This window comes from Homo sapiens, chromosome 7 (genome assembly GCF_000001405.40).
Source record: "Homo sapiens chromosome 7, GRCh38.p14 Primary Assembly".
In the NCBI taxonomy this organism is placed as follows: Eukaryota; Metazoa; Chordata; class Mammalia; order Primates; family Hominidae; genus Homo; species Homo sapiens.
In genome coordinates this window covers 110,779,169-110,795,741 of record NC_000007.14, presented here as the reverse complement: position 1 = coordinate 110,795,741, position 16,573 = coordinate 110,779,169, and the positions used below count along the sequence as shown (strand labels likewise).

The 16,573-nt window shown below is 36.4% G+C and overlaps 1 protein-coding gene across 18 annotated transcripts in view; it reads left to right on the top strand.

Annotated features, from left to right (window-relative positions):
• IMMP2L (inner mitochondrial membrane peptidase subunit 2) overlaps positions 1 to 16,573 on the top strand; it is an 899,849-nt gene that overhangs the window by 766,751 nt on the left and 116,525 nt on the right. For 6 of the 18 annotated variants that reach the window (XM_017012701.2, XM_017012700.2, XM_017012702.2 and 3 more), the window contains one exon: positions 1 to 16,573. This exon is cut by the window's left edge and continues 39,994 nt beyond it. The exons of the other annotated variants lie outside the window; for them this stretch is intronic. The gene's annotated coding sequence lies outside the window, so the exon portion shown is untranslated. 18 annotated transcript variants of the gene reach the window in all.

The window sequence follows — 16,573 nt, the reverse complement described above, 5'->3', positions numbered from 1 at the left end:
ATGACAAAAATCTTAGTGTGATTCCCTGGTTCAGTTGTACAAGGCATCAGCTCTGGGGTTAAAAAGCAGGATATGGACCTGAATCCCAGATTGACTGTGCATCCAGTGCCATCTTCTCTTTTTGTCACAAATTTCATTTGTCTCTACATTTCTGGTTCAGCAGATGTTTCTTTATGGCTGCTATGCTTATGCTTGAGTTGGTTGTTAGGGCTGTTAAGTAAAAAGCACTGTCAGCACAGTATCTTGCCCTCAAGAGAGGATGTAACTTCAATTTTATGACAATGTTTATTATTACTGATATAGGAAAGAAAGTCCCTTGCTTGTTTCTGGCCCACTTGCTCAATACTTTATATTTAAACCATGATAGGATACTGATTTTTTTAAAACACCAATCTTGCTTTAGACTTTTAATCATCACTAAGTAGGAGAATCTGTAATCATGTGACAAATACTGAGTCAACAGCTAGGAAAACCTACTAGCTTGGTTTGGTAGTGGCCAGTAAAAAAAGCAAGGCTGGGGTCCAAATAGAAAACTCAGGAACTCAGCCATAATCTTAAAGCATATTTCATTTGGGGCTCCATCATAAAATTTGCAATGTTTGTCTTCAACATGTTCCAGCCACTTTTGTCCCTTTTCTTATTCTCTTTGTTTGGAAAGCACCTGGTGTCTTAAATCACCCTGACTGCCCAGAGTCTTCACTGCATCTCCCCATCTGTTTCCCTCCATGTATCTGAACCAGAGGAAAGAGCAGTGAGCCAGAAGTCAAAGACTGGACCAGGCCCAATTGCTAACTAAATGTAAAACTGTGGGCAAGTCATTTAGGTATTCTTTGTCTTAGTTTCCCTGTATGTGTGTGTATATATCTAGTCATTATTTATTAATTAATTCATTATTATTAATGAATATATGTATTCGTTATTTATTTATATTTAATGAAGGGGTTGGAGCTAAAAGTTTCTTTTAACTCATATGTATGATTCTACGGGGTCTTCATCTCATAATCAAAACATTCTTACACTTTCCTTATTTTCTTCTAAGTAAACCTGGAAACTTTCTTCCAAGGTGATAATAGCAATAGTCATATACTGTGGTAGAATCCCTAGGAGGCTGGGGATTTTGTTTTGTGATGATGTTTTGTCTTATTGGTTTTTTCCAAGCTTAATATCCTAAATGTCTTAACTCAAAAATAGGAATATATGATGATCGCATTTAAGTACCATTTGATAATAATGGAAGATACATTTTTTTAAGGAATCTTTAATCGGCACTAAAACAAAACTGTCTCCGTAGTTTTGTGTATATCCAGAATGTCATATAGTTGGAATCATACAGTAGATAGCCTTTTCAGACTGGCTTCCTTCACTTAGTAATATTAAGGTTTCTCTATGTCTTTCTATGGCTTGAAATTTCATTTCTTTTTAGTGCTGAGTAACATTTCATTGTATGTATGTACCACAGTTTACTAAATCTATTCATCTGCTCAAGGACGTCTTGGCTACTTTCATGTTTTAGCAACTATAAATAAAGCTGCTATAAATATCTATGTGCTGGTTTTGGTGTGGACATAAGTTTTCAGTTCATTTCGTTAGATACCAAGGAGCACCATTGCTGGATCATATAGCAAGAGTATGTTTAGTTTTGAAAGAAACTGCCAAATTGTCTTCCAAAGTGGCCGTGCCATTTTGCATTTCTACCAGCAATGAATGAAACTTCCTATTGCTTTACATCCTTTCCAGCATTTTGAGTTGTCAGCTTTTTGCTATTCCAATAGTTATGTAGTGGTAACTTGTTTTCATTTCCAATTCCCTGATGACATATCATGTTGGACACCTTTTCATGTGCTTATTTGCCATCTGTATATATGCATTTAAAGTTTTTATATAAATTTTTTAATAATTAAGGTATAAAACGTGATGTTTTGATATGCATATACACAGTGAATGATAACTAATTAACATATCCATCTCCTTACATAGTAATTATTTTTAAGCATGTATGTGGTGAGAACACCTAAAATCTACTCTCTCAGCAAATTTCCAGTATACAGCACTGGATTATTAACTGTATCATGCTATACATTACATCTCTAGACTTACTCATTCTACATAACTGCAGCTTTATACTTTTTTTTTGTTCTAGAGAAGATACAAGTTTTTATTACTGTGGCATTGTGCATTTTTGTTGATTTCTTTTAGTTCAAATTAATTTAAAATTTTTATTATTTTTATTTCAATAGGGTTTTGGGGATGAGATGGTGTTTGGTTACATGGATAACTTCTTTTAAGTTGTTTTGTTTGTTTGTTTGTTTGTTTGTTTGTTTTGAGACAGAGTCTTGCTCTGTTGCCCAGGCTAGAGTGCAGTGGTGTGGACTCGGCTCACTGTAACCCCCACCTCCTAGATTCAAGCCATTCTCGTGCCTCAGCCTCCCAAGTAGCTGGGATTACAGGGGCATGCCACCACACCAGGATAATTTGGAGGTTTTTAGTAGAGACGGAGTTTCACCATGTTGGGCAGGCTGGTTTGTACCTCCCGGCCTCAAGTGATCCACCCACTTCGGCCTCCCAAAGTGCTGGGATTACAGGTGTGAGCCATCACGCTCAGCTGGATAAGTTCTTCAGGGGTGATTTCTGGATACATTTTGACCAGTTTCTCCCCATTTCCCCAACTGCCCACCCCAGTAACCACCATTCTTCTCTCTGTTTCTATGTATTCAACTTTTTTAGATTCCATGTGTAAGTGAGATCATGCAGTCTCCTTCTTTCTGTGTCTGGCTTATTTCGTATAGCACAATGCCCCCCAGTTTTATCCATGTTGCTGCAAGTGGCAGGACATTCTTTTTTAAGGCTGAATAAGATTTCATTGTATGGTTGCCAGGGGCTGGGGGAGGGGGAGATGACTAGGTGGAGCACAGAGGATCTTTAAGGCACCAAAACTCCTCTGTATGATACTATAATGGTGGATACATGTCATTCATTGTATGTGTGTCAATAGAATGTACCCCTAGAATGTACAACATTAAGAGTGACCTTTTTTTGTAAACTGTGGACTTTGGGAGATAATGATGTGTCAGAAAAGGTTCATGGAAGAATAATCAATGTACCACTGCAGTGCAAGCAGCGTGAAAGACATTGTTAGTGGGAGAAACTGTACTGTGGGGGAGATCGAAGTATATGAGAATTCTCTGTGTTTTCTGTCCAATTCTACTGAGAACCCAAAGCTGCTTAAAAAATAAAGTCTACTTAAAAAATTTTTTTAAAGGCCAGAAAAGCCGGATGTTTAGTCTCAGTGACTATCAAGAGATCAACCAAGTGGCAGGGTCTGGAAAAAACTTACAGGGTTTGATTTCATACAGATTTTAATTTCTAAACTAGTACTGAATAAGACTTAGAGAAGGGAAAAAAATGGTATCAACTCAGTACCTGTATGCCAGTCCTTTCACATTTATTTCCATTTAATTCTAACTCTAGGAGGTAAGTATGTATAATCCCTTTTCATGTAAGAAAATTAGATTCTGAGAAGTTAGATTATTAGCTAAATTCAACAAGCTAAGGGTAGAGGGTGCACGTGTCAAACCTGTCTGCCTCTCTCTGTGCCCAATAGCCACCAGCTACCTCATTCATGTATATAAGGAATAATGAAAAAATGAAGTGTACATAGATGATAGGTAGAAATCCAGTTCTCTGACTGTAGATAAAATTAGTTCCCTTGCCCAACTTTGAAGGGTAAGATGCAAGAATATTTATTCTCAACTCCATGTTCTCATAGAGGGAGATCATTTCTACTCTGCTCTCCAGGAGGGAAAACCATGTGAGGAAGACATGCCCCTGCTTCTCTCCACCTCATCATTTGCCCTTTCCAGGGCAGGAGGAGTGACTTCTCTGATAGTTGAGTTTCAGAGAAGGAAATGATGGTGCTCAGATCATCCTTCTGGCTCCTGTCTGCTGGACACATTCTCTGCTTCTGTATTCAGTGAGCTTTCAGGCTAGGGTCTCCTCTCAGAGAGCATCTGGCAATTGTTAAATTCAGGAGTATTAGAAGGTATTAGGGGGCTTACTGTGGTGGTACCTCTGAGTCATGTTCTTTGATCAACTTTATTAGTAATAAAGCTGGCATTTTGATCTTTTATTTATCCATCACACAGTTGGTTCCAAATTAGGAGAGAAAGAGGAATATTGTTTTGCTTACTGGTCCCTGAAAATCTCAAAAATGGGTAGGATAAAAATCTAAAGGATTCATATGTTAAAATATATGTATGTCAGAATAATTATCATTAAAGATAACACAGTAATAGTTCTCATTTCTGCCCTTAGGGGAGAGGGTAAGAAAAATCCCTGGCAAAATATTTTAAAGAGACTGAGTGACAAATATGTTTAAAGGGTTATTGGCTTATGGAAGAGTAGAGATAGTCAGGTAAGCTTGCCTTTTCTGCTTGGATAGCACCAAGCCAGTGGAACCCATTTTAAAGGCTGCTCCCTAAGAGCTATACTTACAATGTTTCATTATTTTACATTCCATAATGATCCTAGTCATCAACTGTCTTACAAATTCTTTTTCTATTATGTGCATGTTGGGAGAAAGGCATGCAAGTACTTCATTCTTTACTTGAGTGGTGGTGTTTAGCCTTTCACTGTGATTTTTAGTGTGATTTTTTCCCCCCAGTATCTGTAAATGTTATGAAGAGCTATGTTTTCATGGGCAGAAGTTTGTGTTTATGGAATTTTCTTGATGGTTCACCTGCCAAATACCAAGTCTGTCAGTTTTCAGGGTGCCCAGTTAGGCCATCTGTATGTGCAGGTGTCAGGGGTGCTTCTCCAAGACAGTGGCACACATAGGTATTTCTTATGTGAGGTGTCATTATTGGTCTCTTTGCATATTTTTATTCAAATTCAGCTACTGTGTTCAGTGCCCAGACATTCTGAGAATCAAAGAATTTACTCACTGAATTTTGGAACTTTAGTTTGACTAAACCATAGTACAATTGAACATTGCTCTGGGACTTGCTTGCCGGCTCTGAATTCATCATATTAAAATAGGACCCTTGTTTAAAGTAAACCTACTCCGAAGTGGCCCCACTGTACCACTGTTTAACCATTTGCTCAGGCCAAAAATCTGGAACCCATCCTTGATTACTCTCATTGTCTTATAACCAAGCTATCATGTCTGTTCAGCTCTACGTTGAAAAGTAGATACATCCTGTATCTGACCACCTTAGGTACCTCTGTCATTACCATTGCAGTTCAAGCCACCATGATCTCTTGTTTGTCTGAATTACTGCAAAAGCCTCTGGACTGGTCCCCTTGATGCTTCTTCCTCTCTTGCTCTTCATATAGACAATTATCCACAGAAAATCCAGAATAATCTTTTAAAAATGCCACTCAGATCACATCAAATGCCCTTCAGTTTCTTTCCATCAGTCTTTGCCTTAGCCTCTGAAGACCTACATGATCCAACCTTTGGCTACCTCTGTGACCTTGTCACATACACTCTCCCCCATTTTCATTCTGTCCCAGTTATACTGTTTCTCAAGCAAGTCAGGCTGGTTTCTGTTTCAGCCCTTTCTACTTGTTCTCCCCTCTGCTTGTATGGCCTTTAACAATAAGGAATATTTATGGAGCTATGCACTAGAGACTACTGTAGGCCCAGTGACTAGAGCTTTCAACAAGACAAAGTTTATATCCTTAGCAAGCTTTCATCCTACAGGAGGATGACAGAACATAAATTAACAAATGTATAAGGACTCAGGTAATGGTAAGTCAAAATTAGAAGAATAAGATCCATGGGCATAAGATGTGCTACTTTATGGAAAGTGTTTAGAGAATACCTAACAAAGTGACTCATGAGTAGAAGCCTGGAGGAAATGAAAGAGTGGCCACATAAATATTTGGGGTAAGTACATTCCAGGGAGAAGGAATAGAAAATGCAAAGGCCCTGAGGTATGAGTGTGCCAGGTGTTTTTAGGGAAGAGCAAGGGCACCAGTATGCCTAGGATGTAACATGTCAGGCAGGGAGGACGGTAGGAAATAAGGTCAGTGAGGTGGTGGAGGCTCAGAGGATGAAGGGCCTTCTAGGCCATTAAGGACTTAAGCTTTTAATCTATATCATAAAGGAAGCCATTGGACAGTTTTGAGCATTGAAGTGACATAACTGATTTATACTTTTAGAGAAGTACTCTTTCTATTGTGTTGAGAGTAGACAATAAGGGAGGGAAGGTGAAAACATGAAGGCTAAGAGGCTACTGCAATAGTCCAGACAAAAGATATGATGGTATGAAGTCGTAGGATCCTGGATGTATTTCAAAGAAAGAGCTGGACTTCATAGGGTTTGCTAACAGATTTAAGGTGGGTATGAGAAACAGGGAGAAGCTAAAGATGAGTACAAGTTGTTCTGAGCAACTGGTAAATCTGTTCCATTTACCATCATCATAACAAACTTAGTGTCATAAAACAGCCATGTTATTTTACTCACATGTTTGATAGGTTAGAAATTCAAATGGGACACAGCAGGGGCATCTTGTCTGTTCCCTCTATTCGACAATATCTAAAGCCTTGGTTGGGAAGACCCAAAGCCTGGGGTTCACTCAGTGGTGAGAGACTGGAATTATCTGGAAGTGTCTTCATTCACATGTCTGGCAATTGATGTTTGCTTTTAGTTAGGACTTCAGCTAGTTTGTCAGCTGGAACACCTACACACAGCTTCCCCAGGTCGTCTTTCCAGGCAAGTGAGTTTGGACTTCCACACAGCACAGCAGCTAAGTTCCAAGACTGACTGACCCAAGAGAGCCAATTGGAATTGCATTTTCATGATCTAGTCTTAGACATCACATAACTTTACTTCCACTATTCTCTATGGAATGAGACAGTCACAAAGGTTCACACGGAATCAAGGATAGGAAACAGATGTACTACCATTTGATGGGAGACATGTCAAGGTCACATTGCAAGAAGAGCAAGCAAGATGGGAAATATTGTGGCAGCCCTCTTTGGACTACACAATCCACCATCATGGGGAAGGCTGTGAGAATAGCAGGTGTGCATCGGAGCGCAAAATTAATTCGATTTTGGCATTGTTGTATTTGTGATATCTATAAGACGACTAAGTGGAGATGTCAAATAAACAGTTGGATATATGATTAAAGAGGGTTCTATGCTACAGATGTATTTGGAAGCCACTTGTCTGTTTGAAAGCACGGAGCTGGATGAGGCAGAGTGAGTATAAGTAAAGAAAAGAAGGTCCAAGGACAGAGCCCTGGAGCACTTCAATGTTCAGGCTCAGGAAGATGAAAAGGAGTCATCCAAAAAGACTGAGATAAGTAGCCAGTGCTACTAAGAGAGTGGTGTTCTAGAAGCCAAGAAAAGCAAGTATTTACATTAGCTTAAATCCACTGCATCACGTGCTATTATAAGATGTGGACTGAGAATTAATTGTCAATCTGAAGGTCATTGATGACCCTTAGGAGGTACTTCCTTGTTGTGAAGCTCAAACCCAGCTTAGTGAGGGTTCAAGAACAAATGAAAGGAAAATAAAACTTTGAGTGTGAACATCTATTTCGAAGAGTTTGGCTGTAAAGGGAAGTAGATGAAAGTAATGACTTTTAGAGGAGATGTTAGGTCAAAGGAGGGTGTTATTTTTTTTTAGGCTGGAAGACTTTAGAGCGTATTTGTAAACTAGTGGGGAAAAAAAGTAGAAAGTGGAGTAAATAATGATCGGGGATATCGGCAGGAGCAAAGTCCTTGAGCAGGCAGGAGGGAAAGGCATGCAGTGTAAATGATGTATGCTGGGTTCCCTCCCTTTCCTCATATAGACCTGTATTCTTCTCCTTGAAGAAACCTTCTCTAACTAATTATGTAGAAGAGCCTACTCCATTCTCTTAATCTGTTTTTTTTGTCCTTCCTGGAACTTTACCATTTATTCATTTATTTCTTATCAGTGCATCAGAATGTGAACCCTATGAGGGCAAGGATTTTGCCATCTTGTTCACTGACCTATTCCTAGTACCTAGGACCTGACATATAAAGCGTATTCAGAAAAATGTTTTAGGTGAATGAATGATTGTGGAATGAATTAAATAGGAATCTTTTTGTTTTGGCTTAGCATCCCTCAAAATTATTTTACAAATTTAATTCAAATGTGATTTTGACTTCACATTTTAATTAGGGTGTCACTTTGAGACTCCTGGGGATTAGCAGAAGACTTAATGGGAAAATAATTTGGGAGAATTATATATTTTCTAGTACCAAGATTGTCCTTGGCAACTTGATTATTTCTGAAGTGGATCCTTATTTGACAGACTCCTGAGATAAGAAATTGGCATAAAGCAACTGCGTAAGCCCTCCTCTACCCTCAACTGATCACATTGAGTAGCAGTTCAGTTGCTCAGGAGAGAGGACTGAAAATCAAGAGATAAAAGCTTCAAGAAAAGCTTTGTAAGGTTCTTTATAAAATACCTGTCCATACACTAACTCATCTTACCTATTAGGAAAATGTGCAATACAGCATGTTAATACTTCACTGGGGGTATATTGCAACATTATGAATTAAGGGTTGGGAAGCACTTTCAGATTCTCAAATAAAAGACACTCTTTAAGTTCACAGTGTCATTATCATGGTAACTATGACAAATGAAAACATTCCCTTCAGTTTTCTCCCTTATAAGTCACTTCTTATTGATTTGTCATGTCAGATAAAATTGTATTTTTTTTCTTTTTTCCTGCTTTAGAGTAAGAAAGTAATTTCACAGCAAGAAAAGAATACTATTGTGTGGAATATCATGCTATGTATCCCAAGTTTCTTTTATTTGACAAGCACTCCAAATTCAACTATTGACTTACAAAGCTGTGTTATTTTTCATTATGTTATGTTTTTGGCTTTCAGTGTTATGGAGAAATGCCTGATTAAAAGGAAGCCTGCAAGTTAATTCCCAACATGCCCTTTGGCAGCTTTTTCATTTCACTTAGAGGTGGGAGCAGGTGGTGTCATTTAGAATTAAATACATCATGTCTCAGTTGGCAGGAAAACAGCATTCAGTGATGAAATATCCCTGCAATGAATCTCATTAATTGTTCGCCAATTTGTGGTAACTTTATTTGTATTTGCATACTGTAATAGAAGTACAATGAAGTGTTGTATATTTAGATCATACTTAGTGTTAGGTTTAGCTATCAGCTGTAAAAGGCCTTTGGTGTAACAGCTCTGAAGGGCTGGTACGTGAGTGCCAGTCCATCTCCTACAGGAGGCCCCCTAAAACAGTCTTGTTTCATTTCCTCCATTTTCCAGTGAAGTGATAGCAATTTCACAAAACTGTAGCCCAAGCTTAAGCCCATGCTATTTTTAGCATCTTTACTCCGTGAAAAGATAAAACAGATCCTATTTGAACTCTCATCTGTTCTCAGTGACTTAATACTGCTGCAAATTATGTTTTTCTAGCATTCAAATGTCTCTGAGTGTCAAAGGGCAACTGAAAAACTCATCTGATATTTTCCATAGATATATATTGAGATTCAAGTAACTATGTATTATATTTGATACAGCTTATTATAAAAATAATTCTGGGAACATTAGACTAAACTAATTTCTTTATATGAAGCTGTTTCTATCTTAGACTGGGAAAACATGAAAACATGTTAGTTAAAAGACTCTTTATAATATTTATTGTTAATATACAGAAATTGGCAATCTAGTAAGCATCCTTTTTCTGAATTCATCGTTTTCATTTATAAAAGGACTTACAGTATGTCTGTTATATGCCTGGTTTGGGACTGGCTTGCAGAAAATACGAAAGATCCTTAAGATAGCCTCTCCCTTTCAAGGAATCAGAAGTCTCTTTAAAAACTAGATATAGAAATATGAAAGAGAGAGAAAAATACATATCAATGTGCCATTGACAAATTATGTGGAACAATTAGTGTTATAGATCATAGTTTCTTGAAATTTTATTACCATATTTTCCATTATTAAAGGTTTTTACTTGTAATAATTATATGATGATATAGCCTGTTGATCAGATCAAACATCTCTGCAATAAAATTAAGTGGATATGGTTTATAATGCTTTCTGTTGACAAATATGCATTCCTCTCATTGGTGATGCAAGGCGGTATCCTGAAAAGACTACCATAGTAGAGGATGGAAAGACTGATTCTATCTTTGCTTCACCTCTTCCTAGATGTGTCACCTTCAAGAAGTCACTATTTTCTAATCTAATGACAAAATGGGAAAATCTATGGGAAGTCCAGTGCCTTAGGATTTATTTTTGCTCTCCAAGCTCATTGTATATAGTCCTAATACTGAAAAAGATCCTTGGGACTCTACCATCCTAGAGGGTGAGAACATCTGATTTTCAAGGTCACCAGAACCATTTTTAAATCCAGCCACACTGATGTGGAATCACCACCAACAGAATTAGAGACATTTAATAAGAAGATATATTATTTTAAAATGACCATTACTTAAAAGTGATAATAAGCAGAAGACTGTGTTGATGCAAATTTTTAAAAGATGACAAGCCTTGTTTCAGGGATATTTTTCTGGCTAAAACACATTTATTTTTAATCTAATTTTACCAATAGCTTTTGGTAAAAAGGACTTCAGACATAATTGAGCATTCTGACTTCTACCACCTCCTACTGTAATTTTAACACCAAAATTTACTTATCATATCTGAATCTATTCTTCTAAAAAGAATGTCATGATATTGATGAGAAGTTAAAATTAACCTTATTTCTGAGTAAAGGTAATTTCTAATACCATGTTTTAGAAAATGTTTTACAAGTGTTTCTTGTATCTCATTTTAAAATGACGTCATTTAACATGGAATTATAATTTTAAATTTTATGTCAGTGAGTATAATCTCTGTGGTGAGTGGCTACCATGCTGGACAGTGCAGCTCTAGAGAACTGGCTGTTAACCCTGGTAGCACAGGGGAGCTCTAAGTAGAGCTTTGAAAAATCTGCTCTCCAGCCCCACTCCAGACCAATTACATAAACATCTCCAGGGTGGGGTCCAGGCATTAGGATTTTCAAAAGAGCTTTCCAAGTGATTTCAATGTGCAGCTAAGATGAAGACCACTGCATGAATTGGAGACCTCATTGAGAGGTTTTGTTTTTATCCTAGAACCATGATACATCTTTAAAGCTTTAAGCATGGATGAGGGGTGATCACATTTACATTTTTTAAAAATCACTCTGGTGAAAGCACAGAGATCAGATTAGAGGGAAATATGATAGATGTAAATGTTGGCAGATCCTTTTAGTGGCTTGGGCAGTAGCCCAGTTCATGGATGATGGCTTCATGGTAGATGAAGATGGAATCAAGAGTTATTTGGAAGATGAAAGGTCTTGATTACAAATTGAATGTGGAAGGGGAGGGGAGGAGGTGCTGTTCAGTGTGATGGAGGATACTGCAAGTAGATGCAGTCGTTACATGATTTTTTAAAGATCAAATATATGCAAAAACTTGTCATGAGTTTTGAGACCATGCAGACAGATGCATTAAAAGTAAAATAAGGTCTTTCCATTGCTGAAGAAGTCCATAGGTTTTGCTATCGAGTATTTAAATTACTAACTGTAACACTGACGGAGGTTAGGAATTATACCAATGATGAGGAATATTACTTATTGTATTCTTGTTATCTAGAAAGTAAGTCATCCAAAGGAAGGGCAAATTGGAGAGTAATTCTTTTATTGTGGGTTCTTGCATGACCCACTAAGGTCCTTCTGAAGAAAATATTTATTTGTGCCATAAAAGACATAAAATTAATAGTACTTGATTTTTAATTTTAATAGTTATAATGAACTTAATGATAGGCTAGTCCAATGTCTTTTTATGGAGGGACCAAAGCTCCATGGGGTTTAGGAATGTGTTCAGGTCACATGGTTTTCATTTCTCCACACTACAATGAACTTGTTGGATTATGTGCTAACCTGTTCTCTGTAAACCTTTGACTCCTTAGAGAGCTTGCTTCTCCACATTTACATACATTTCTGCATTTTCTTAAACTTCTATGTATTTTTCCTCTTCTTGTATTGAAAATACAATGTAACCTGAGACAGACTTCTTCCTCTTTCAATTGTTTGATATTGAATTTTTCACAGAACCCTGATATAGTAAAATGCTGTGAAAACCCTTTACTTAAACATTCACACTTCCATTGAGTAAGACTGTCTATATATACCAGGAGTAATTTTTTTAAATGTTTGTTCTAATTATCAGACTGTTTAAATTTTTTCAGTTCTTTAAAATCCCATATTTCAACATGTGAACATTTGATAATGGCATTTACTGACATGATTTAGTCCTGTTGTAATAGAAACAACATCTGATTTGAGCTAGAAAGAACAGATTACTTAAATTGTGACTTAAGAACCAGCTCTGTGACCTCAGACAAGTAAATTATTTTTGCTGACCTTTAGTTTCCTCATTGTAATTGAGGATGTTGGTACCTACTTGATAAAGCTATTATAAAATTCACAGAGATAATATTAATATTAATACTGGGCTTCAATCTCTAGCAATAAGATATAGGGCTCCACAATGACAAAACTCAGCTTATTAGCATGCTATCATTTTCCCTATTCTGTATGGTCCCTGATAGCTGAGTTTAAGCTAATTAGACCCAAGATAGAAAACAAAGAATCTTGTTAACATTATACACCTCGAGATCCTGTTCCTGCTCCAACCTCGGTGTACTCAAGAACGCACATTTCCAGCTCATATCCTTTCAGGAAAAATCATAATAATCCCTTACTTATTCCTCTTCCATTGCCTCAGCCTACACACTAAAATTTATTTACTTCATTATTTTATTGGGCTTCAGGATTGTGGCATTTTCTTCAGTTTCATTTTCAGGATCTTTTCTGATCTTTCTACATCCCTGTCCTTTGAATCTCTATTCTTAGTCCAAGGACACAGTAATTTCTATGCTCCTATGCCCATACTTTACCCAAGGCATGTGATAGTTTTGTACATAGCTGAAGATTTAATTGACCTCTAAGCAAAGAGTTTCTGAAGGATCTGGTGGTGTAAGACAAATTGATACAGATTTATGTAGCTGAGTGCCTAGCACATAGTAAGTACCTATTAAGTGTTAGCTTAAGCTTTGGGTTTATAAGCGTTCCTTATGTATTTTTTTAAGGGACCTAATATATGCAAATAAACATGCCCTGAAGAGACTACTGTGTCAAACTGCTTGACAGACCATCAAAAACAGTTACAAAAAAAGTCTTAAAAAGGACTAATGTGGTTCATAGAGGTGCCTTTCCATCTGTCCCCCACCTCTACCAATAAGGCTGCATTTATCACATTTAAGCAAACAACATATTGTCAGAAAATGAAACTGTCAAATTGACAATACTAAAGTAAGTACTAAAACTGTCAGAAACACATAGCAGGTTAGATTCTTATGCTGTTTGTTTATTTTTTCCCCTACTGTTATTTTTAATTTAAAATAGTCATGTGTATTGTCTCACTTTGATAGTCTTTCTGAGGATTGGAATTGTACCATCTACCTTAGGCTTAAAATATGTTTGTCATAAGATATAAGCCTAGTGGATATCTCAGAATCTCTCTTTTATGTGTACATCTGGATTTAAATGCTGGGGAGACATTGAAGTAAGGCTGAGAGGAGGCCAGATCTTCCTGCCGACTAGAATAGCCCATTCCAGGTGTTTATTGGGCTGACTCGGCTAGCGGCTAAATTAATCTTCAGGTCTCAGCTCTTACAACCACTACTGGGTTATAAAGAAACTAGGATAAACTTCATATTCAAAGGGAAAGGCTTTAAATTAATTGAAGAAAGTGATCATTCTCTTTCTTGGAAAAGAGAATTTGATTTCTATTGCCTGTTAATTTTTCAAAGAAGTTTAAGAGCTGTATAGCATATCACCTTAGACATATAATTATAATGAAACTTTATATGTACTTTTTGTTATTAAAATAAGTATAATTAGGTAGGCTGACTTCCCTTATAATTATCTCCTTAAAGTTTTATTTTAGGCACAGTCTGTTGTTAATAGTTTATATGGGTCTGTTTTATTTTGGATGAAGAGTTTTGACAATTCATAACATATTGTCAGGTAAAATCCATTTATATCTTGCCTAAATTATATCTGAACGTAGGAAAATGAATATTTTAGTCCATTTTGGAAGCATATTCTATGCATGGTTTTCTTGGAAAAATACAAAATATCTATATCTCAGAAAAAATATACTGACTCAATATTGAGTAGATATTTGATGAAAAAAATAAGAATACCATATGGCAAATTAGAATTTGGTAGTTTATTTTTTGCCATTTAGAAATTAGAGAATATATTTTAATATTCTTAACTCAAAAAAGCATTGCATTTTATTCACCTTAAAAATTAATTTAAAAATCTGAATTGTGGAGTTTACATTTACAATATGTAGACTGAAACATGTCACACTATGCTGGGAATTTGTACTCAGTATTGTATCGTGGATATAGATGTTTTACATTACTGGAGGAAAAATAGGAACACCTTTCTTCAACTCCCAATTTAATAAATGGATGATTTTTATACCACAAGATGAATTAATTACTGTTGAAAAATATACATACTTTTTTGCTTTGCCCCATATTGCTAACAAACATAGTATGTATAACTAAAAGCCTTTTCAGTGATCTACAAATTCTTATAAACTCATGATCAATAATTATCCTTAAATGTTTCAAGGTTAACAAATGGAACACATATGTAAAATCTTAACTTCTAGCATCTTCCCCATTTCCTTGAAAGATTCTATTCAAATCTCAATTAGTCCCCTAATGAAAAGCTTGCATCTGTACATAATAAGCCCACACTGGTGGAACTGCTCTCTCATGCAGCTGCTGAACTCACAAGACAGGGAGTGCAAATAATGAGACAGGCACTCTGAAGCAAAAGGCTGGCACTCTGAGCCTGTTCTGTGGGGAAGTAGAGTAGCAAAGGCACCCTCCTTTGTTAAATGAGAGATATGCTTTTAAGTTTGGGTAAGTAAAATTCATTTAAATACAGATAAGTTTGTAAGATAAGACTTCTAGATTTTTTTTTAATCAGCTGATACTTTTCTGGAAATTAATCAGCTCCCAAATGAGAATAAGCCAGAATGGGAGGGGAACATAGAGGTGAGTTGGCAACGTGGGGAAGGGGTAATAGCGAGGCAGAGAGATCAGGCAAGCAGGGTTGTGTGTTCGAAGAGTTGTGAGATGAGAGGTGAGAGGAGCCTGAAACAATAGAATCAATAGAGTTTGAAAATTTACCTCTGAATGTACTCTCAGTTTATATGTGGGAATTAGCTCTAGAATATTTGCAGAAATATAGAGACTTTGAGAAAATCTTATTTTCAAGTAATATGCTTGCCAGTGGTGAATTCTCAACTTTCTTTTCAGCACCAGTGTAAACCGTAACAGTTTGTTTTTTTTAACACAAAAACCTTTTTCTATCTAGTATATAGAGAACTAATCCAGAGAGTCAGCTTCTAATTCAATTATAGGAATTGAACAGTACACTTAATTTCCTGAATACCAATTTGGATCAACCTTGTTTTTGAAGCTTTGGTGCAAGCATTCAAATCATAATGAAGCAGAAAAAGGAACCAGGATATCTCAGCTCTTCCTCAAGAGATTCTTACCTAAGCGAGCCACATAAATAACTCATGTGTCAAAGATGATTTTAAAGACAGTACAAAAGGTAGAAAAATAAAATATTTTATTTAATTAACATTAGAAGATATGTTCGTGACAGTACCCGTGCTAAAAAGGTTGTAGCAATGGTTATTTCATTTATTTCTTTTATAGCCAACGTGTGTTTTCCTCTTTCTTTAAATCAAATTCAGAGTCCAGATCCTTTACTAACTTCCTAGTTAGGCAGTTCCCTAGGAACTTTACTCCTGTATTTTCCTTACTATTACAATAGTAACAATTGTTATCAGCATGGCACATGGATGGCTGAGTAAGATCCTGCCAGGAAAATAAATATTAACTCTTTTAACCTGGGTAATTTTAGTTAATCCCTGGTAGAATATGCTGCGGTGTCCTAGGGCCCTGCAAGGTGATAACACCCCTCTTAAATAGTTTTTCCTTGCTTACCGTAAAAGTTGGGAAGTACTAGATAAGCCATCTGTCTGTTCCTAGAAATACCACAAATCTGTGCATTGTAGACTGTTTTGCTACACATGCTGTTTGGAGTTTAAGAACTAGCTACACACAGTAGCACATCACCAAAAATTCCCCTGAGTCAGAAATGCCTTTCTCCCCCTGCCAGACCTCAGTTCAAGTCATGTTTTTCTCGATAACTAAACCTCCATTGTTCAAATTTAGTAAGAACAGTGCCTGCTGACCCAAATTTGCTTTGCCTCCATTGGTATTTTTTGATAACTTACTATATTTTTCAGGTATAGAAGATGTTTGAATGAAAAGACAATTATTTACACTCATTGCATATAAAAATAACTTTGATTTCATTTTATTTGCTTATAACAAAAGCTATAAGAATAACTAGTAGAATCTCTTCCTTTATTTGTTACTTATATATCAGACTGTTGTAAAGTGGACAAAATAAAATGACTCTTATGGCCA